General features: G+C 32.3%; 1 long non-coding RNA gene and 1 pseudogene across 5 annotated transcripts in view; both read right to left on the reverse strand.

Moving 5' to 3' along the window:
• Positions 1-20,854, reverse strand: part of LOC105379263 (uncharacterized) — a 104,681-nt gene extending 83,827 nt beyond the window's left edge. For all 5 annotated transcript variants that reach the window (XR_007061527.1, XR_007061529.1, XR_007061526.1 and 2 more), the window contains exons 1-2: positions 17,557-20,854; positions 16,457-16,657 (exon numbers count right to left, since the gene is read on the reverse strand). This is a non-coding gene — a long non-coding RNA (uncharacterized LOC105379263). The remainder of the gene's footprint in view (positions 1-16,456; positions 16,658-17,556) is intronic.
• A 3,746-nt stretch (positions 20,855-24,600) lies between these two features.
• Positions 24,601-24,695, reverse strand: LOC124900279 (uncharacterized; annotated as a pseudogene).
• Positions 24,696-24,908: the final 213 nt, after the last annotated feature.

The raw sequence follows: 24,908 nt of genomic DNA on the forward strand, positions 1-24,908 counted from the left end.
GAGATGTTATATGTTCAGATTTGTTGACACGAAGCTTTATTGAGAAGCATTACTTATTCCCAATAACTCAAGGAGGAGCCTGTTTTGGGAGGAAAAACCACATCAAGTATGTTTTGTTGAATCAAGAGGATTTTATTTTTAGAAAACTACTAATGATTTTTTCTGAAAACGTGACTATTTTGAAATCTAAAAAAATCAAATATTTGATACTTAACATAATTTGCAACTTGACATAAAACTACTCAGTTTAGTTGGTCATAATATACTCATTCCTAACTTATTCCACTTTACAAAAAAAGTAAAAGAAAAGCATAAATAAATAAGTAAGGAAAGAGAAACAAACAAACAAAAAACATTGGAAACGGACTAGGTAAAAATTTATAGAATCAAGGATTAATTTCCACCAATTATGGCATGAATAAAACCAATCAACTAAAATATATTTTAAAAATCAAGAAGACAGTAGGAAAACAGCCTCTGAGGACCCCTGGAACAGTAATTAGGTGGGCACTCTGTTGGACATTACCATTTTCTTTAATGTTTGTATGAAACGACGCCAATTTATCTTTAAACAATTTATCTTTAAGTTGCTAAGGTGATGCAAACAGCTGTCATGTAACAATCACCAAGAGAGGACCCATTCTAGTTCACAAACTGCCCTGATGCTTTTTATAAAAAACAATCCACTTCAGGATAATGTGTTGTTCCTGGTTTCTATGTCTCTTTAACTTCTTTAAATCAGAAGCATTCCATAGTCCTTCTTCACCCTTCATAGCATCCTAAACATTTTTTGAAGGTAATATTCCAATGGATTCTATTTTTAGAATGTCTCCCAATTTCGATTTGTCTGGTGTTTTCTCATAATGAGGTGTCAAGACATGCATTATTGGCAATAAAATCACCAACATGGTGCTATGCTCTTCTTATCATATTTCTTCAGGTTATATATGAAATTAATTTTTCCCATCAGTGGTGATTTTAATTTTGATCATTTGAAAGGTAATGTCTTCCAGATTTCTCTATTGCAGAGGTACTCCTCATTTTCTTTATATTAATATAACATGACATGAAATGATATTTTATATATAGACTATCTATTGTATACATGTATATATACATGTAATTAATCTAAAATTAAGTGTTTTGTGGAGAGATACATTTCTTCTCCAACATTTACCCACTAGGTTTAGCATCCATTGATGCCTCAACACTCAATCAAATTACAATGTGAAGATTTTCAAATGATAATTTTTTAACATACAATATCAACCCTTTTCCTTTTATTGGTTGGCACTCTGTGGGAAAATAATAGTGTTTCCTTCTTTTATTCATTCATTAATTCATGGGTTTATCTCACGTGGACCCATGGATTCCTATTTCTTTCAGTGGCCCATGATCTGTTCCTTTACTTATTTTATTGATTCAGTTTTGCTATTTTTGCTAGTAGGAACTATTCAAGTTTCTCAGCTCTTTTAACATGCCTTCCTTAGCATTTGAGCACTCCCTTATTTTCCTTGTTTTTTTTTTTAAATCTCAGATTATGAATGGTCATTGCAAATCTATCAAAATATAATGGATTTCTGTATATTATTATTATATCCTGTGATCTAGATAAACACACAATTTTACTAACTTTTTTGCAAATATCTTTTTTATTTTCTGCACAGAATATAATAATATCTGTGAAGAAAGACATTTTTCTTTCTAAATTGTATGTATTCTTACCTCTCTCAATGCATTGCTAAGACGTGTAGTATAAGCTTCAAAAGAATTTATCAGAGCAAGCATGCTTGTCTTTTTCTAGGTATCAGGGCAAAAATATTCAGTCACCTTAATGTTATTGGAAAGTTAAGGTACATAGTATAAACCTTAGAGCACCTAACAGGACAAAATAAACAAAAACATATGACTAATAATCTTATTAATTGAAATAAAATAAAATTCAAAATTAAACACTTAATCCAAGATAAAGCATCAAAAGTGGAAAATAGTAATAAAGAACAGATTAAATTTTATGGAAAATAAATTTTATGATAGTAGATTTAAGGCCAAAATATAGATAACAATATTAAATATAAGTAGTCTAAAACTACTATTTAAAGTAAGAATTTTAAGACTAAATTTAAAAAGTAATGTTAAATCAATATAAAGACAAAGATTGGTCAGAAAAAATAGGTTGAAGATAGCTGTACTTCACCATGATACAGTAAGAGGAACTAAACTAAATTCTTTACAAAACAAACAAACAAAAAACAAAAACACACACACACAAATAAAAACTAACTGCAGACAAAATATAATCAACAGTGATTTTTTAACCATTGACAAGAAGCTGAGGATGCTGATCCCTGACAAAAGAAAAAATAAAATCTGACTTATCCCAAGCTTTCTCTCAGTTTCCAGAAAACACAGTGAAAGGATAATCCAAAGAAAGGATAACTCTCCCTGTATATTGAGAAATTGAAGATTGGGGCTTAGAAAGGAAAATTTAGCTAGAATTGCAGAGGTAAATAGAAGAGAGAGAGCATTTGCACAGAGATGGTGATATGGTATGGCTTTGTCCCCACCCACATCTCATCTTGAATTCCCATGTGTTGTGGGAGGGACCAGGTGGGAGATAATTGAATCATGGTGGCAGGCCATCCCATCCTCATGATAGTGAATAAGTCCCACAAGATCTTATGGTTAAAGAAGAGGGAGTTTTTCTGAACAAGCTCTCTCTTTGCCTGCCGCCATCCATGTAAGATGTGACTTGCTCTTCCTGGCCATCTGCCATGATTGTGAGGTTTTCCCAGCCATGTGGAAACATAAGTCCATTAAACCTCTTTCTTTTGTAAATTTCCCAGGCTGGGGTATATCTTTATCAGTAGCATAAAAATGGATGAATACAGGAATATAGGAAGTGTCTGCTTTTTCCTGGCTTTTATCTTTGCCTGTAACATTCCACCCCAGAGACTCACATGGCTTCTCCTTTCTCTTCAAGTCTTGCTAATCATTCCTTGTTGATTCCTTAAAATCAACACATATAAATGTGTATCCCTTTCTTAAGCAAGAGATCCCTTTCATCCTTTACCTTTCTGTATTTGTTAGTAGAATTAACCATCTGCTAGTATACTATAAAATTTACTTATGTATTATATATATTATCTATTCTAGTGATATAATTTGGCTCCATTCCCACACAAAATCTCATCTTGAATTATAATCAGATTTATAATCCCCATGTGTTGGGGGAGGGATCTCCGGGAGGTGATTAGATCATGGGGTGGTTCTCCCATGTTGTTCTCGTGATAGTGAGTGAGTTCTCATGAGATTTGGTGGTTTTATAAAAAGCTTTTACCCCCTTCACTCTGCACTTTTCCTTCCTGCCACAATGTGCAGAAGGACATGGTTTGCTTCCCCTTCTGGCATGATTGTAAGTTTTCTGAGGCTTCCCCAGACCTGCAGAATTCTGAGTCAATTAAGCCTCTTTCCTTTATATATTAACCAGCATCTAGCAGCTCTTTATAGCAGTGTGAGAACGGACCAATACAACAAGTGAACAGGTATTTTTGCTTATTGTCCATTGTCAAAACCACTTATTTATTTTTACATTGACTATTGTCTATCTTCTATGGTTTGTTACCTCCAACAATAAGGTAATCAAGGGTCAAAATTTTTTGTTTATTCAGTAAAATGCTCTCAGTGAATTGGGCATTGGGTGGCACAGAGTATTTAATGTATCTATTAATTTTGTATATAAATGAATAAATTTTCTAAATTTTGCTAATAATGTTAATAGAAGACCCAAAAAGTATAATCAGTAAATTAGTTGTATTTTGAAGAAAAAAAAGTTAATCTATGTAACAAATTATTGTAAAAATTCTCAGGATATACACTTGAGTAATAATCACTGTAACATTTACCTATTTAAAAAGAATGAAATTTAACAGTGAAGGCACCTGAGTCTGGAATTTGTTTCCCCTAAGAAGGTATTAAATTAAAATTCAGTATCTTTAATAAATCTAAAGATATGAAGAAATTTTATTTATTCTAGAGTAATTGTAAAGATTATTTTGCTAACCATACAATTTATTCAACCATTATCAAATTTATTGGCATAAAGTTTTTATAATTTAAGTTATTATCATTTAGATATTTGTAGTATCTTTACAACACCCACCATCTTCCCAACCTTGCCCACTTTATTTCCTGAAAGTGCTTGCTGACAGATTTCTGTCTTTGTATCTTTCTCAGACTATCTAGAATTTAATTCAGTTTATTCCTTTTATCAAAGAATCCGTTTTAAATTTCATCTTTTCCTTTTGTATTTCTGTTATGTCTTTATAAAATTTTAGTTTTTCTCTATATTTTACTTTCTACTTCTTGTTTAATTTGGTTTTCTTTTCACTTTTTCAGGTAGACATTTGTGTCATTAATTTTAGACATTTCTCCTTTTTCTAATACAAACATTAAAAACTTCGTATTTCTCCAAAGGAATCCTGAAGTTGTAGTGTTTTTATTTTTATCCAGACCAAAATACTTTCTAATTTATCTTTTGATTTACTATTTGCTACAAGGCATCATTAGAAGTTTATTATATCTAAATATTTGGGGATTTCATTGTAGTTTTGGTTTTGTTTTTTATTTTAAATTTAATTCTATTGGGTCAGAGAACATACTCTCCATGATCTAATCCTGTTAAATTTGTTGAAACTTTATTATTTGTTACCTAACATGTGATGAATGTCAGTGCACTTGGAAAATAAAATAAGTTTTTGCTGGTGATGAATATAATATTCCATGCATCCTAGAACTTGTTAGGTTATAATGTCATTGAATTTGTAGATATTTTCTTTAAAATTTTTTATTTACTTGTTTAATAATATCAGAAAATAGTTTTCAAATCTTTAAATATATTGTGGATTTGTATATTTTTCTTCTCAATTCTGTAAGTTTTTGTCTTGAATATTTTAAATGCATAATTGTTTGTTAATGTGTGAAAAAACATTTTGCATTATCAGGTTCTCTTGATGAATTGGACCAATTATATTGATCTTTATCCTGCTAAAAATATTTCTTGATTTGTGGCCCATTTTGTCTGATATTAATAGAAGTCTTCAGTTTTTATATACTTAGTGTTTATACCATAGAAACACTGCCATCCTCTTACCTTAAAAGGGTCCAGAAATTTGAACTTTCATGTAAAATATTTTCAATATTAATTTATAATATTTTATAACATTACATAGTAATTTTGAAAAAATATTTGTTATTTATATAAAAAGCCTGCTGAGATTTGGACTGATATTGCAATTAATCTAGAAATCAATTTAGTAGAACTACCTTCTTAACACTATAAAGCATTCAAATTATTGAACTTGGTTTATCTCTCCATTTATTTAGGTCTGCCTTAATGTCTCTCAGCACTGTATTGCAGTTTTCTAAGTATCAAACAGAATGGTTCATAGTGGATATTTTTGCATTCTTTCTTATAGTAGGAGGAACCATTTGGTATTTCACTATATTAACTATTTTTATATATGTTTATTACTTTTGAAATAATTTGTTTCTCTTGCCTACTTTTCTGTAAGTCTTTATTATGAATATGTGTGAAATGTCATCAAATGCTTTTCTACTTTTAATAAAATAATCCTATACAAATTTTTTAAATCAAAATGTAGATCTGTAGTTTTCTGTTAATCTCTACCTATTTTTTTCCTTTAAGGGTAATCTGTACCTCATATAATGTACTGTTAGGGTTGCTTCCTCTTTTATTTCTGAAAGACTTTGCATAGAATTGTTACTATTTATTCTTTAAAGATTGTGAGAATACAAGAGTGAAACCTTCCTGACCTGGAATTATTTTGTATGTGAGTTTCAAATTATAGATTTAATGTATTTAATAGATGCAGGATTATTCATGGTGTCTCTTTATTTTTAAGTGAATTTTGTAACCTCTTTTCTCTCAAGTAATGTGTCCGTTTACCAAACTTTTAAAATGTATTTGCATAAAGTTTAAACATTGTGTGCTTACTATCATTTTATAACCTGTAGTATAATTAGTGACAGTCTTTCATTACTGGCTTTAGTATTTAGTATTTTTTCTCTTTTTTGTTGAGTATAGCTAGAATTTTTTCATTTTTTAATAAATGAGCTTTTTATTTTATTGATATTCCATTTTGGTGTTCTTTCAATTTTTATTGATTTTTGTTCTTATATGTATTTTATTATTTCTTTGTACCTTAGTACATTTTGACTGCAATAGAAAAATACCTTTTTGTTGTGGCTTATAAACAACATAATTTTATAATTTATAATAATATAAACTTATAACTTATAAATTTACTTCTCATAGATCTGGAGGCTGAGAGGTCTGAAATCAAGGCTCTCAAAGATTTGATGTCTGATGAGGGCCCATTTCCTGGTTCATAGATGGTTCCTTCTCTCTGCATCTTCACATAATGGAAAGAGCAAGGTAGCTCTCTGGGGTCTCTTATGTAAGAAAACTACTCATTTACTATCCTTAATGTAGTACTAATTTAGTACCCTTATAAAAGAGCCCCAGATCTCTACTTTCATGACCTAAGCCCCTCCCAAAAGACCCCATCTCCTAATAACATAAGTTTGGGAGTTAGGATTTCTACATAGGAAATTCGAGGAGACACAAACATTCAGACAACAGCATTCTGTTTTGTTTGGGTTTAATTTGCTTTAGGAACTGATTAGATTCTTTTTTCTTTTCTAACATAAACACATGGCACTATTACATTTATCTAATTCTTTATTTCTAAAAAATTTTTAATTATTATGGATACATAATAGTTGCACATATGTATGGGATACATATGCATACAAGCATATGACATACAATTATCAAATCAGGATTCTGATATTCATCACCTTAACTTGTATAGTTTCTTTGTGTTAATATTGTTTAGTTATCTTAATAAATTGACCCCTTTATAATCAGTGAGTATATTTTCTATCACTGGTCATATATTTCGTTCTGAAATATATTTAGTTTGACATTAATATAGTAACTCTAGTTTTCTATAAATTTTTGTTTGTACTACACACACAGATATCTATGTATTTATATTTACAGTAGAATTTTAGTAGACAGAATTAGATTTCTGATTTTTCATTGATGTGTATGAATGATTTACATGTAATGTAATGTGATTATGAATAAGCTTAGGTTTAAATATACCTTCTTGCTATGTTTTCTATTTATCTTATATGCTCCTTGTTCAATTTTTTATCCTTTTTTTACATTTTGTAGATTAGTTAAATATGTACTTCATTATTTTATGTTATTTCTACTATTGGTTTACTAATGTACTTTTTTTTAGGTTCTGCTTTAAGGTTTAAAATATAAATACTTCTGTTTTAAGGTTTAAAATATAAATACTTCTACTTTAAGTTTTAAAATATAAATACTTAACTCATCACAGCCTACTTTCAAATAACAGTATATCACTTGATATGCAGTATAATACATTGCCAGTTTTTTTCTGCAGACACACATATACTTCTCATAAAATTTTACTTCTGCCTTAGGACTCTTTCTTATAAATGACAATGGAGGGTGGCTGACAATGAAATTCTTTAGATTTTGTTCAGTGCTGAGACAACGTTGAGATGAGCAAATTACCTCTGGTGAAAAACTTAATGAGGAACTCTCTCGGGTCACACAAGGCACAAGTCTTGCACTCTCAATCTCAAATATATAACTCTGAAAGTGAGTAGCTCTTTAGGTTTTGGGACCTAGTTGTGTCATTTACTTTACCCTAGTTCCAAACCTATTTTTAATTTTCTAAAAATAAACGAGCCCTATTTTACTTTAGTGCTTAAAATTTTCTACTTGTTATAAAAATGTAGATAAAGCTGTTTTTTATTATTTAATTATTTATGATTGCTCCATTGTCTCCAAGTTTTCATAGTTTCTGAAGAAAATTGCCCGTATTTGTGTGTGTGTGTGTGTGTGTATTTCTTTTGATGTGGATTATTTTGTCATCTCTGATGCCTTTTAAGATTTTTCTCTTTATCACTGATTTTCAGAAATTAGACAATAGTTTACCTTGCCATTTTGTCTTTATTTGTGATTCTAATAACATTTTGGCAATCATTTCTTCGTATTTTTGGTTTTGTTCTTCCCTACCACATACTCACACACAGACATCCACTCAGTGTTCTTCTGGGACTCCATCTCTTCTTGTATTATGCTGCTTGATATTGTCCAACACAGTGTGGTTGTTTTTTCAAATGTGTCTATGTTTTCTGTTTTGGATAGTTTATATTGTTATGTTATCAAAATCACTGGTATTTTTTCTACAATGGTTAAAGTGCTGTTAAATTTATTCATACATTTTTAATCTAATATACTTATTTTTTCTGTTTTAGGAGTCTGCTTGTTTTTATTTCTTCCATTTTTATTTTCTCATAATATACATATTTTCCCATCTTATTTGAAAAAATAAAGCATATTTTTAACAACTGAATTAACATGTTTCAACACTAATTATTATGTTCATCAAAACCAGATATTGTGAATTCTATATTGTTATGTGATGGATTTTGTTGAATTCCTTTTGTATATTTGTATTTTGTTCTCAAACACAGTTAAATTATTTGGAATCAGTTTGATGCTTTTAGAGATTGCTATAAAATTTTCTTAGAGAAGATGTAGAGTTGCTTTAGGTTTAGGAATGAGTGAGTTCCATCACAAAAGCAGGATTCTTCCAAAGATTCTACCTAATAGCTCATATATTACCCTGTCTTCTACTTTGGTTTGTGGCAACAATAATATTTGCAGAGCTTTCTTGAGCTTTGAGAATTGTTCTTCAAACCCTTTGTGTTGGCATTTTACCCCAGGCTTCTGTTATTTTCTCTCATGTATTCACAGTTTAGTATTCAATGAAGGACTCAATAATTTCCTAGGAAGGTCTGCAGACACACGGTCATCTGTATTCATTAGCATGGGCTGCTATAACAAAATGCCATAGACTGAGAAGCTTATAAACCACAGAGATGTATTTCTCAGTCTAACCTCACATGGTGGAAGAGGGAGGGGTCTCTCTGGCACCTTTCATAAGGGCTCCACTCCCATGATCCAGTCACCTACCAAATTGCCCATTTTTTAATATTATCACCTTGGTGGTGAGAATTTTAATATACAAATTTGGGGAGGTCAATTAGACCAGAGCATAATTCTTGGCAGATAAAAGAAGCCATAAGAAAGCTGGTGTGATAAGACCAGAATGAGCCAGAGGGAAGTTTTAAGGTACAATAAAATATTAGGCTAGACTATTAAAGTACTTTGTCATTAGAAATTACATCTTTCAGATGAAATCTACCCAATCCTTGCTTGTACATCTTGCTAAAGTTTTAACTTTTCCATTGATTTCATTATATTTGTCATGTCTTTCCTATGAATTTAATTTTCAATTATCTTCACTTCTTATACATACTGCTATATATTATTTAATCATTCTGCCTTAAATTATTTTGTGTACAGTTATAATACTTCAGCCTAGTTTACTAGGAACTCATTACAGTTGTTCCCCTGTATTTGTGGGGTACTGGTTCTAGGAACCCTCAGACACAAAAATCTACAGATGCTCAAGACCCTTCCATAAAATGATGTATAATAGTATTTTATACACCTACATCCACACTGTCACATACTTTAAATCATCTCTAGATTTCTTATGATACCAAGTACAATGTAAATGTTATGTAGGTAGTTATAGTGTGTTCTTTAGGGGATAATGACAAGGCAGAATTCCATATGTGTTCACTTTTTCATAAATGTTTTTCCAAATATTTTTGATCCATGGGTGGTTGAATCCACACATGCAGAACCTATGGATATGGAGGGTCCACTGTACTTTTTTCTATCCTCCTAACTACATATTGGTTTCTATTTTTGTCTTTATTAAATCTTAAATTGTAGTCATACTACAAATTCAATCTTTTCTATTGTTTCATTTTTTTCTATTTCTTGAACAGTATTCTGTTTCTGTTTCAATGCATTAGTATCCACTTATTTATGTTTACCAAAATATTACACAGTCAAATAATTCAGGAAGACTTTGAAAATTTAAAGTCAACAGATTTGTATTAGCCTCAGTTATATCATCTGTAATAAATCAGATTATCCTGTCATTAGGATTAAATATTAAAATCTATTTAAGACATCTTAAAGAATATTTGAGATATTATGTATACTTAATATGGATATTTGTTTTCTTCCCTTCATTTTCTGACTTATTTTAGCCTTTTCATTTGTATTGTTTTATGTACCTTACAGTTACATAAACTCCTTAGTATCTGGAAACTTGTCTTCTTATTTTAATGTGCCATTCATCTCCTTAGCACAATTTCTTACACATATATGTTCTACAAATGTTTATTAAATGAATTAGTGTCAACTACATGCATGCTTTATTCATTAAGCTGTCAAAGGATTGATCTGCTTTACAGCTTTGTCAAACTATAGAACTTTAATTCTTTTGCCATACTTTAAAAATAATACATGTTTAGGTAATAATAAAATCAATATTCATACTCATAAAATAACAGATTGTAAAAGCATTGTAGGCTAACCACATACATTTTGGAAAAGAAACTGAAATTAATTCTTAAATTCTTTCAAATTCTTCATCTTATTTACTATTTTTGTAAAGTAAATGTTTATCTTGTATTTTAGTTTTAAGCTCTTAGAATCTTCAACAATATAGTTTTTTGTACATAAAATATTTAAATCAACTTAATCTATGTACATGTTATAAACTAAGTTCAAGTAAAATTACATAAAATGCAACAATGCATTTTATTTTTCTATTCATATTTTTCTAATAAATCTTGTAAGTTTAAGTAATTATTTTAGTTAACGCTATGAAATTCTACCTAGGCAGGTTAGGTGTTAATTTCCCAATTTGTATGCAAACTGAACAATTTTCTCTGCGCTCTTCATCATTTCATCTTTCCACTTAACTTTCTCTATTTTAACCAAATAATATTTATTGTATTTTGCCCCATTTAAACTAATGAATAAAAATTTCCCTCAGTGTAAACTCTATGTTGATGTTTCAAATAGAATATTTTATTCCCTGTGTGTTTTGAGTAGTAGCACCTTTAATGTTTTATCTATTTATATTTGTACAAGGCATATTACACATCTGAAATGAACACAGTACTAATTAGCATAAAGTCAATGTTAGCCTTAGACTTTACAGGTAAGTCTACAGAATACAGAAAGAAAAAATATAATGTCATATGTACTTCTTAAACAGTTGTATCAGTGGAAAAACTGATGATGCATTCATGTTTTCCTCAATATTTAGTGAGGAGAGCAAAAATGAGTAATAAGAAGGCAAGAAAAAATATCCACTGCATGACTGTAACAGGCACTAGATGATGAGGTCATAGAATGTATTCATCTTTATTTATTCAGAAATTAGCTCCATACCTAGCACATAAACACTCCCATCTCAGGTCTCAGTTCGCTTGTGCTTCTGTAACAAAATAGCTGAGACTGATAAGAACAGAAACTTGTTTCTCACAGTCCAGGAGGCTGAAAAGTTCAAAACCATGGTTCTGGCAGGTTTGGCACCAAGTGAGGTCCCAGTTTCTGCTTCTAAAATGGTAACTTGAATGCTGTGTCCTTACATTAGCTAGTTCCCTTCAGCCCTTTTGTAATGCACTAATCCCATCTATGAGTACAGAGTCGTCATGGCCTAATTACTCCTAAAGGCCTGACTTCTTAATACTATTGCATTGAGGATTAAGTTTCAAAATGGCTTTTAGAGGGGAGACAAACATTTAAGCTAAAGTATAATAATCCATAATTTTTGAATGAATGAACAAAAAGTCACTTGCATTTAAATGTGAAAAGGTAGATACTTTCGGTGTCAGTTATTTTCTGTACAATTGTGATTATTCCTCATAAAATTTCAGAGCAATCAGTTGGCTTTCAATTAAATTTACACATTAGTTATAAACATTTTAAATGTTAACTCTGTTTCTACCCTTCATGATATTTAATATGTATATTAATTTTACAAGAATTACTTAAATATTTTTCTTCCAATTTTCTAATTCTCTTTCCCTTGTTGAAATGAGCAAACACACAAAATATCAAGTGACAGATAATGCATTGCTAATGTCTTACTTTGGTAGGATATTTTCATTAGTATTTTAAATAGAACTGAGATTTTTATTTTTATATATTTTTTAACCAAACCTGACTCATATTATAGATGATCTAAAGTATTAATGTAATACAAAACCATTGTATTTCTTGGCACAAAGAAAAAGCGTGGGTCATGTCAAACACCTGCAATGACAGTAAAATCATGTCACAAATAAGCTAATTATGTTGAAAAATGATTATGCACACACTATGTAAAGCATTGTCCTTTTCCTTTGTTGGAGGGCATTTATTCATAGACATCATGTATACTTTCTTCCCAAAGGGTAAGGTTGACCTAGAACCCTATGGACGACCCTTTATAGTTAAGCTTGCCAACTACTTGTCAGAAATGATTAGTGAGAAATGTAGGAAAGAAAATTTCCCCTGTTGATGACAGGGGGCAAATAGAAGATGCCCTGAAGTTGTCATAAGGAATCACATTTTTTTCAATAAGAGTATTTTTTATTTGATAATATCTAATATCACAGATCAACCTTTATTTATACATATTCTAGACATGTGTTGAACTTGACAGGTTTTGGTAATAGAAAATTCTGTGGCAACTCACAAAAGAGTATGTGTGCATTGTAATCATTTTTATTATAAATAATAACTGTGTCTTTTTTTGATAAAATGAAGATATAATAAATCATGATTTCCCCTCAATCATATCTTTTAGAAACTGAGTTTATGTGTCTTTGGATTTATAATAATCCCAAACTCACATTTTATGTTAAAATACTCATTAAAATGCAATAATTTATTACAACTTTATTTTGGATTATATTCTGAATGTCTTACAACATGAAAGCTAAAGAGTGCTATACATTTTTTGAAACAGATTTATGTAAGCCTCACAGTCTGTATTATGAAATTATTAATGTTAGAGTAACATTTTGATCTACTAGATTCATAAAATTAATGAGAATTCTTCAGCTATTATTTTGAATCCTCTCCTTATATCTCTTAATAATACAGATAACACAGATTTGAGCTACAGGAAAATGTAATATGCATTGTGTTTGAACAAAGTGTGTTATAATTTTGGATGTACATCAACCTATACTGTATCCCTATGTTGTGTAAGACTGAATATCCTAGATCATATTGGATTATTACAGTCAATAATATTTTACATTAAACATCAAAAAATAATATGGCATTCATTTACAACCCAGAAAAATGAGTAACTCCCAGGAGAAATTTAGTTTTCATTGCTCCTTATGCTAACAACTTTAAAGTTCAAATGCTAACTTTCTATCTCCATTTTATTTAGAATGTATAATAAATCTTTCATGAAAAAAGATGAATTTCTTTTTTTTTTTTTTTTTTTTTTTTGAGATGGAGTGTCTCTCTGTCGCCCAGGCTGGAGTCCTGTGGCGCGATCTCGGCTCACTGCAAGCTCCACCTTGTGGGTTCACACCATTCTCCTGCCTCAGCCTCCCGAGCAGCTGGGACTACAGGCACCGGACACCACGCCCGGCTAATTTTTTTTGTATTTTTAGTAGAGGCGGGGTTTCACCGTGTTAGCCAGGATAGTCTCAATTTCCTGACCTCGTGATCTGCCCGCCTTGGCCTCCCAAAGTGCTGGGATTATAGGCGTGAGCCACCACGCCCGGCCTCTATTTTTGAAAGTTACCTTTTGTCATTTTTTTATCTGCAGTAGTGTGGATTAGAAACCTGGCTCAGTCCTACCACTAAAATAATTCTTAAAAGTTGGATGAAACATTAAAAAAATCTTGCTTTAGTGTCACAATGATCAGGCAAGAAGACAATAATTTTATGAAAATTAAGGTTTTACCTTGAGAGCATTCTCTGGTCTTGATAAGGATGAGGCCATGTTTCTTGGGACTGTAAAAAGCAGGGGACCAGAGACAAAGTTCAAAGTCCAGCCAAATTGGAAGTGTAGTAAGAGAACACTCTTACACTATTGGTGGGAGTGTAAATTAGTTCAACCATTGTGGAAGACAGTATGGTGATTCCTCAAGGATCTAGAACTAGAAATACCATTTGAGCCAGCAATCTTATTACTGGGTATATACTCAAAGGATTATAAATTATTCTACTCTAAAGACACAGGCACACGTATGTTTATTGCAGCACTATTTACAATAGCAAAGACTTGGAACCAACCCAAATGTCCATCAATGATAGACTGGATAAAGAAAATGTGGCACATATACACCATGGAATACTATGCAGCCATAAAAAAGGATGAGTTTGTGTCCTTTGCAGGGACATGGATGAAGCTGGAAGCCATCCCTCTCAGCAGACTAACACAGGAAAACCAAACACCACATGTTTTCATAAGTGGGAGTTGAACAATGAGAACACATGGTCATAGGGAGGGGATCATCAGGGAGGGGATCATCAGGGAGGGGCTGTAGGGGGCGGGGGCCTAGGGGAAGGATAACATTAGGAGAAATACCTAATGTAGGTGACGAGTTGAAGGGTGAAGCAAACCACCATGGCACATGTATACCTATGTAACAAAACTGCAGGTTCTGCACATGGACACAGGGAGAGGAACATTACACACCGGGACCTGTTGGGGGTGGAGGGCAAGGGGAGGGAGAGCATTAAGACAAATACCTGCATGTGGGGCTTAAAACCTAGATGACGGGTTGATAGGTGCAGCAAACAACCATGGCACATGTATACCTATGTAACAAACCTGTACGTTCTGCACATGTATTCCAGGACGTAAAGTGAAATATAAAAAAAAAAAAAGAATGCCCTTTTCTGGGGTTCTCACTAATATGACCTGTGTAACTTGAAAATCCTCAAGACAGAAATTTAAAGTGATCTCATTCTGTTTATAACCCTGGGCCCTTGGTACAAACAAATTTATATAATCCTTTTGGGAAACCTATTTCAATTCTATCCTAAAATTATTTGCATAAATATACTTCTATTAGTTAGGAATTGACAGTAAAACAAAACAAAACACACAGAGAAAGATGGTGCATGAAAAGAATATAGGAGGAAAACAGGGAGATAAAAGAATCACATGAAGAAAGACTCCAGATACTGGAATTATAAGAATGTATAACAAACAAGTTTGAATTAAGTAAGAATTAAAATGAATGATTTAAAAGTTTAATTCAAACAACGGTAAACACACAACTGACACATTCATAATATGTTAGAGATAGCTAAAGTGAGAATAACCACATAACGTAAAACATAGTTAAATTCACTTTGACTATTAAGAGATGTATAAAAATGAACAATAAAGAGAAAGGATTCAGTGATATGAAAGACAGAATGAAAATGACTATCATATATTAAACTGGAGTCTAATATATTCATTAGTGAGATTTACTGACATCCCTAATGAAAGACATCAAATTCTCAGATTCAGGAGAAATAAGACATTACACTCAAGATACATAAGATGAATCATTCCTCGGCACACCTAAGTTTTCATCATAAACTGTACCTTCAATCATCTTCATTCTTCCTGACCTGATCTATTTTTCTCATCGTATTTACCACCTTCAAACATATGGTACACATCCTAGTTACTTTGGGTATCTTATATTACAATATAATCTCAAAACAGATTTTGTTGATTTTATTTACAAGATGTAACCAAAGGGCCTAGATTATCTTTATAGCATAGTATATGTTCAAAATTTATTACCAAATAAATATAAAGTACATTTATGAAAGGTGAAGGAGAATATAAAACAGAGGGAAGATCTTCAGAACTACCACAACAAAATGACACATAACTTAAATGTCAAAATACCAACACTGACTTCTTATCAACAGCAATAAAAAGTAGGAAAAAATTTGGAAAATATCCTCAATGAGTTTAGACACACTTCTATACATTAGAGGTTTATAAAACACAAAAACTCCTTTTATAAATGAGTCAAAATAATGACATTTTAGACAAAGAATAACAGAAAATTTATCATCCAAAAGCACCTTCCAAAGAAACGTCAAAAGACAAATTTCAAACAAAGGAAAATGATCACAGATAAAAGATTTGGGATAAAATAAATAATAATGAGAAAAATAGAATATATATGGGAGGTATAAAAAAGAAAATAAAATTTACTTCAATACAAAATTGAAATGTGTAAAGATGTTTTGGTGGGGGTCTCCATTGCTCTTCAGCTTTGATTATTTATTTAAAAAACTCTCAGAACTCAGAGAAGCAATTATACTCATGTTTACAGTTTATTAAAACAAAAGGATGCAGAGTCGTATCAACAAAGGAAAAAGATTCTCAGGGCAAAGTCCAGGAGACTCCAGGCACAAACTTACAAGTGTCCATCACAGCAGAATCACATGCAGATACACTTCAGTCTCCCAGTAAAGCTGCATACAACCACATGTGAATTCTTGGCAATTAGAGCAGCTTATTTATTCTTTGATGTCCCAGGTTTTTATTGGTGGTTAATCACATAGGCATGCAATGCCCAAGTGGCAAAACTTGGCAAATTCAGCTTCCTTTCCATGATCCCTCTAGAACAAAACCAGGCATTCAGCATAAATCATATCTTAGAATAAACGTATCTGGTTAAATTGATACCACATGGTTCAAATAAATACAGCATGGCTCAGGGCCTCAGGCATATAAGTCAGTCATTCACCATAAACCCAAGGCCTCAGATATACAAAAACACTCTTCACGGTAAGACTATTTCCAGAACTCAGAGGCTAGCTAGTCCTAAAAACAAACCTTACCTTTGAATGTGCAGGGTTGAAAAAACCCTGGGCTGCTGAGTTAACACATTCTTGCCTAATCCATATTTATTGTCCCTGGTCTAATCTCTCCTGTAGCAAAACAATCATATTTTTCTGAGCATCTACATTGAATATGGCATTTATATGACAGTAACAACAGTAATATTAACATGAATATGCCTAGCATTTTATGGACACAGTGTAGGGTAAAGATTGATTTTTAAAAATTACTAATGCATCCTACAAGCCCATTACATACACTTTAATATTTTGTACAAACAAAATTATTCATTCCTCCTCTCAATCTGCTTTTATTTTTACTTTTTGATAAATCTGTGCAGAACTATTTAGCATTGAAATTAGATAATGGTTAGCTGAATTCTGTTTTCTCAGGCCATTTATTATTCACCCAGATTACATTCTGAAGAGGCTTTAACTCAATATCTTAATACATTTGATTATCAATATAAGCATTATATAACTTCTCTACATAAGATAGTTGAATCTTACCAACAATGCTAGTGTAATGTCATATTGCAGTATGATCATGTTACAATTCAGTTTTATTACAGAAAAAGTTATTACGAATGATAGAGCTATTTGTTACAGCTACTCAACATAATTGGTTCTTGTCTTTATACCGTATAGTATTATAAATAAGTGTTATTACTACTCACCATGATTTGATTATTTCTGGGTTTCTAATGGGTTGTGGACTTAGCCAGTCACCCTGTCTTAGTTCACAGGCCCTAATTGACAATGGTCTCTACTATATGCTGTCTTACACCAGGATACACTCCCTTCCTATAGACAAGACACAAGAATAAGAATAGTTTATATCTCTGCTACCTGTACTACAGGATGTCTTATCCTTATCTATTCTTGGGGCAATGGCAATAACAATGAATTAATATAAATTATGAGTGACCTCAGAGATGGGGTCCCTAAGATTATATAAATGTGTCCTTCTGCATCTAAGAAGAACCATTACCCTATGGTTATTTAGGCCTCCATCTGTGTTAAAGTGATAAAGTGATGCTATTGAGTCATAATACAAACTCATTACCAGTGTTGGGTCCTAGCATTATCCATCATTAATTGTTGAGTCTACCTTACCAAGTTCACTAAAACTTCATTACTTTTTCCAGGTTGAATCCCATCCCTTCCTCTCTCATAGGTGAGAATTCCCTCTAATCTATTTATTTTAGTTAATAAATCTTCTTTCCTTAAAAGCCATTCATGATTAAAAATGAATTCAGCTTTTCTCACAATGCCTAGATCAGCATCTATCTCCCTGAAGGTTTTTTTCTGTTTGTAGGCCAATGCTTAACCCAAGAGGGTTGTTGTCATTGTATACTAGATTTAACTGGAATGAGGAACCATGTTTTACACTCCAGACTGTTTGGTTCTCAGTATGAGGATAAAAATAAGAAAAAACAAAACAACAAACAAACAACAACAAAAAACAAGAGTTCTCTACAATTTTCGAGAAACAGAAGAGGAAGAAATGCTTCTCAATTCATTTTATGAAGCAAGCATGACACTTAAACAGAAGAAGACAAAGATGATAAAAAAAAAGAAAAGGAAAACAAACAAACAAAACTTTAGACCAACATAACCTAGATGCAAATCTACAAATATACCCTAGATGCAAAATCCTCGACAACTTGAATACGACACTATGTAAAAAAGTGACACATGACCAAGCCATGTTTATTCCAGAAATGCAAGACAGTTGCAATATTTTAAAAAATCTAATAATATAGTTCATCATATTAATATTCTAAAATAGGAGAATGCATGATCAGTTCAATAAATGCAGGGGAAAAAGACACTATTCAACAGTTACTTGTGATAAAAATTCAGCAAACCAGAAATAGCAGAAAATTCCTTCATCTTGATAAAGAGCATACAAAAAATCCATCATATTTAGCTGTGAAACACTGAATGTTTTCCACATGTATGCTCAGGAATAAAGCAAAGATGTTTGCTTTTATCACTCTTTTTCAACATAATACTTAGAGTTCTATCCAGTGTGTAAGGAAAAAAAGGAAGAATAAAATAAATGCAGACTGGAAAGAAATAAGTAAAACTGTTCCTATTTGTAAATAATATGATTACATATGTAGAAATTTATACAGCATTTAGGAGAGAGAAGGAATGTAGAAAAGGGAGAGGAAGGGGGAGGCAAAAACAAAGGGGAAGGAGAAAGTAAAAGAACAGTGGAAGGAGAAGCAGTGTCTCCTAAAATTAAGAAGGATTTAGCAAGATTAGGACAAAAGGTAAAAACAGGTTTCCTGATATTTTTAATTGCATTTCAATAGCTTTCCAAACATAAATATTTCTCAGGTAGTTGAATGCTTTGGTCAATTTCGAGAATGATGGAAGGCTGCTTTAATGAATTTCTAGTGGCCTTTTGTGCAGAGGATTTGCTGGTCTTTTCAAGTGACCATAGTCCACATTGATGGGTTGATTGAATATGGAAACCATCTTGAACTCCCAAGATAAACGCCAATTAGTAATGATATATTTTACAAACACACGTGCATGCACACACACACACACACAGACATGAGAGGATTTAATTGGATAATATTTTGCTGAAGTTTTTGAAATCTAAATTCATCATCAAAATACATATTTGTCTACAGGACATTTTCTTGTAATGTCTGTTTTATGGTTTTGGTATGGGGATAACGGTAGACTCATAAAACATGTTGAAAAGTGTTTCCTCTTATTATTTTGAAATACGTCCCATCAATACCTAATTTATTGAGAGTTTTTAGCATGAAGGGTTGTTGAATTTTGTCAAAGGCTTTTTCTGCATCTATTGAGATAATCATGTGGTTTTTGTCTTTGGCTCTGTTTATATGCTGGATTACATTTATTGCTTTGTGTATATTGAACCAGCCTTGCATCCCAGGGATGAAGCCCACTTGATCATGGTGAATAAGCTTTCTGATGTGCTGCTGGATTCGTTTTGCCAGTATTTTATTGAGGATTTTTGCATCAATGTTCATCAAGGATATTGGTCTAAAATTCTCTTTTTTTGTTGGGTCTCTGCCCAGCTTTGGTATCAGAATGATGCTGGCCTCATAAAAAGAGTTAGGGAGGATTCCCTCTTTTTCTATTGATTGGAATAGTTTCAGAAGGAATGGTACCAGTTCCTCCTTGTACCAAATGCTCATCATCACTGGCCATCAGAGAAATGCAAATCAAAACCACAATGAGATACCATCTCACACCAGTTAGAATGGCGATCATTAAAAAGTCAGGAAACAACAGGTGCTGGAGAGGATGTGGAGAAATAGGAACACTTTTACACTGTTGGTGGGACTGTAAACTAGTTCAACCATTGTGGAAGTCAGTGTGGCGATTCCTCAGGGATCTAGAACTGGAAATGCCATTTGACCCAGCCATCCCATTACTGGGTATATACCCAAAGGACTATAAATCATGCTGCTATAAAGACACATGCACATGTATGTTTATTGCGGCATTATTCACAATAGCAAAGACTTGGAACCAACCCAAATGTCCAACAATGATAGACTGGATTAAGAAAATGTGACACATATACACCATGGAATACTATGCAGCCATAAAAAATGATGAGTTCATGTCCTTTGTAGGAACATGGATGAAATTAGAAATCATCATTCTCAGTAAACTATCGCAAGAACAAAAAACCAAACACCGCATATTCTCACTCATAGGTGGGAATTGAACAATGAGATCACATGGACACAGGAAGGGGAATATCACACTCTGGGGACTGTTGTGGGGTGGGGGGAGTGGGGAGGGATAGCATTGGGAGATAAACCTAATTCTAGATGACGAGTTAGTGGGTGCAGCGCACCAGCATGGCACATGTATACATATGTAACTAACCTGCACAATGTGCACATGTACCCTAAAACTTAAAGTATAATAAAAAAAAAAGTACAAAGCAACCTCTTATTAAAAAAAAAAAAGAAAAGTGTTTCCTCTTTTTTATTTCTTAAACTTTTGTGTAATGTATAAATTATATCTCCTTAAATATTAGTAAAATTTGTCAGTTCGTTTATCTAGGTGGGTATTAATAAATTTAAAACAGATATATAGGGATGTGCATTTTATTGCTTTCTTTTTGAGTTTGCCTTAGTTTGTATCTTTTGAGGGATTTATACACTTAATCTAAATTAACTAATTTACATTTATAAATTTCATCATGGTATTCATTTAGTTATCCTTAAACTGTTGTAGGACAATGGAAATGTTACTTCTATCATTCTTTTTTTGTTGTTTATTTGTTTTGAGACAGAGTCCCGTTCTGTCGCCCGGGCTTGAGTGCAGTGGCCTCATCTCTACTCACTGCAAATTCCACCTCCCAGCTTCAAGCAATTCTTGTGCCTCAGCCTCCCGAGTAGCTGGGAATACAGGCAGGCGCCATCACGCTCAGCTAATTTTTGTATTTTTAGTAGAGACAGGGCTTCACTATGTTGGCCAGGCTGGTCTGGAACTCCTGACCTCAAACGATCCGCCTGCCTCGGCCTCCCAAAGTGCTGGGATCACAGGCATGAGCCACCAACCCCAGCCACTTCTGTCATTCTTAAAATTTGTAAATTATTTATTTCCTATTATTTTCTCCATAGTCTGGCCAGAGATTTAACAATTTTATTGATCCCTTCAAAGATCTAAATTTAGTTTAATTTACTTAGCTATATAATTTTTCTCCATTTAATGTTGTTTATTTCTTCATTAACCTTTATTATTTTCTTCTTTCTGATTGCTTCAGAATTAATTTGTTCTCATTTTTATAATAACAAGTTGGAAGCTTTCATCATAATTTCAAGGTAATTTTTCTTTTCTAATGCAAGCTCTTAATGGGATAGATTTTTCCCTAAACACAGAAATTTCCACATTTTGATATGTTATACTTTTTCAAATTTCTCTTACTTTTGGTTAGGTTCATGTTTAAATATACATATGTGCAAGAATATTTTCCCTTGATTTATATGGATTTAGAGGTTAAAAAAAGGCAAAAAAAATATTTTGGAAATTTCTAGGAGACTTAGTTCACCATAATTGTTACATAATTGTGCATATGTTGCAAGTAATGTATTGAGAAAAGTATTTATATCTGTATACATGTTTGGTCCTTAATGATGAAATTAATGCACAGTTGTCTAACTGTAATAATTTCCTTATAATCACACTAGTTTTCCTTTGGTGCCACAAGATGATGAATCTCACTTTAGTGTGACCAAGCAAAATGAGGTACAAAAACAGTCCAATCAATGTGAAAATATCTCAAATTCACATGAATTTTAAAAATATTTTATATGTAAATTAAATTAGAAATTAAATATATATAATATATTTTATTTCAGAAATATTTGCTTGCCTTTTGGAACTCAAAGTTCAAAACCTTCTATTGTCATCTTTAAATAACTAATTTTTAAGTTAATTTCTACTTGGTTCTATGAAAATACTACCACACAATGTGGAGATAAAGAAAACATTTACAGAAAAATTGTCCATATGGACACATTTTAAACAGATGATCTAATTAGCATAATAGCCACCAAACTGGTAAATAAACAGTTTTGTTGATTTGCTGCTTAATCAGCATCTATTCAGAATTCTGTAATATTGTTTAGTAAAACAGTTTATTTCCATCCATAAATGTATTTTATAAATTTATGCCCAGTAAACTTCCAGGTAAACCATCGAAATATTAACTGTTTTCTACAAGTGGTGGTCTTTTTTTTTAAGCTGGTTTCTATAATGAATTGATGAGAGTGAATGAAGATTAAAATGCTTATTCTGTAATAAAAGCCAATGCCAGCATGCCGATATATAATCTCTATAGATCAAAAAATATTCGGCCGGGCGCGGTGGCTCACGCCTGTAATCCCAGCACTTTGGGAGGCAGAGGCGGGCGGATCATGAGGTCAGGAGATCGAGACCATCCTGGCTAACGCGGTGAAACCCCGCCTCTACTAAAAATACAAAAAATTAGCCGGGCGTGGTGGCGGGCGCCTGTGGTCCCGGCTACTCGGGAGGCTGAGGCAGGAGAATGGCGTGAACCCGGGAGGCGGAGCTTGCAGTGAGCTGAGGTCGCGCCACTGCACCCCAGCCTGGGCGACAGAGCGAGACTCCGTCTCAAAAAAAAAAAAAAAAAAAAATTCATGCCTTATTCTCAGATTTTTAATAGTGGCTCTAAGCAGTCTTAAAAATTTATTATTTAGACACCTTATCCTATATTTTAAAAATATTTTCTTAGTATACTGTGGATGTTATACAAGTCATGTAATGGATAGAGAATTTCTTACATAAATTTACAATAAAATTTTTTAAATAAAACTTTTGTGAAATTATTTTCAAATGTTATAAATGTTAATGAGTTTTGTTATATTGGTTCCAATATTTCTCACATATGGAAAATGTCATTTTCCCTGGGAATTAATATTTGGAACTGGTGTTTAAGAAAAACCATGTTTGATGTTGGAAAATGCTATGTCCGGTATAACTATAGATGTTTGGAAAGCAGCTCAGTTATGCTAAAGATAAAGAAAGGAGAGAAAAATGACAGAAGGGGAGGTTTGAACAAAACAAAATAATACCTGAAAATGTTGAATGGATATGTAATATTTGTGAATGTTTATGTTCTCTATTTCACCATTATTTAAACATTTATATTTTCAAAGGGAGAAAATAATTATATTTTGAAATCATTTTATTTTTTTATAGAGTGCTGTATTTTTTCTTTTCAATTTCAATTTGGTAAGCAAACAAAATCAGTCAGAATATTATACATAATTAGGTTTCCTTTTTGAGATTTGTTGAAACTCTTTATCCTTTATGTATGTATTTCAAGTAGTATAATAAAAAAGAAATATAAAATGATTAGATATACATAAAAGTATTGTAGATTATGTTTTTCATATTTTCTTTCTTTTAATGTATTTTGCAGATATAGCCATTCCAGATTATGATTTCACAAACTAAGATGATTCTCAGTAGGGAAGCGTTACTGCATGTCGTTTTCATCAAAGGGAGCTTAGTTTATTTGCCTGTCTGAATATTGACATTATATTACTAATTTACACATTGGGGAAAGGGTCAAGAGAACTCCAAATTTTTGTTGACTTGATATTAACCTGAAAGGGGAATGTTAATAAATGACAAAATATATCCACAGTAGTTAGACATCAAGTTGTGTTTATTTTTTTAATCTACTGCATATTATTGAATTATTTAGATAGATAGATAGATAGATAGATAGATAGATAGATAGATAGATAGATAGATTGATTTATTAGATGTACAGGAAATAGAATTCACTGGTGGGCATGCGTAAAGAGGGGGCAGCTCTTTTCTAATGCAGGGCTAGCTGCTTGTCCAGGGGCCCATGATTCCAGGGCTATATTTGGCCCCACAGCCATCCAGGATGAGTTGTTTCTCAGCCACCAAGTCTTAAAATGTATATGCATTAAACTTAGTAAAATCGCACTTCTTTGAGATGTGGCTTTTTGGGCATTCACTGAACTTGAATTTGGCCCTAAATAAGGCCTCAGTCACATGCTCCAGGGTTTGCAGCTTGGTATGGATGAACATGGCCAATGTGAACTCTGACCTCTGGGTCCTGAGGCTTTCCAAAGGCATACTACATCCGGTCTTAAACCTAGACTAGGGAAAGCACTAGATCCAAGACATAAATGTCCAATGGCAAAGGCTGTTGTACGCAAGGAACAGGCTGCTGTACACTACCTAGGATGATGCTGTTTGCAGCCCTTGCACACCAGGCCCCATGTGGCTTAATTGATTGTAGAAATTATTTTATATATTAAGTTTTTGGGGATTCATATCTTTTATTCAAGATAGCTAAATGTAATTTATATTAGACCATATACAGTAAGTTGTAAATTATAGAAGTTGTGCTTATCAAAATCATATTCAGTGGGCAATATGGCCTTTAATATAATGAAGTTTACTGATAAAAATTAAAATAAAATAATGTGGTTTTGTAGTGCTCTTGTATGTC

Source organism: Homo sapiens, chromosome 9 (genome assembly GCF_000001405.40).
Source record: "Homo sapiens chromosome 9, GRCh38.p14 Primary Assembly".
In the NCBI taxonomy this organism is placed as follows: Eukaryota; Metazoa; Chordata; class Mammalia; order Primates; family Hominidae; genus Homo; species Homo sapiens.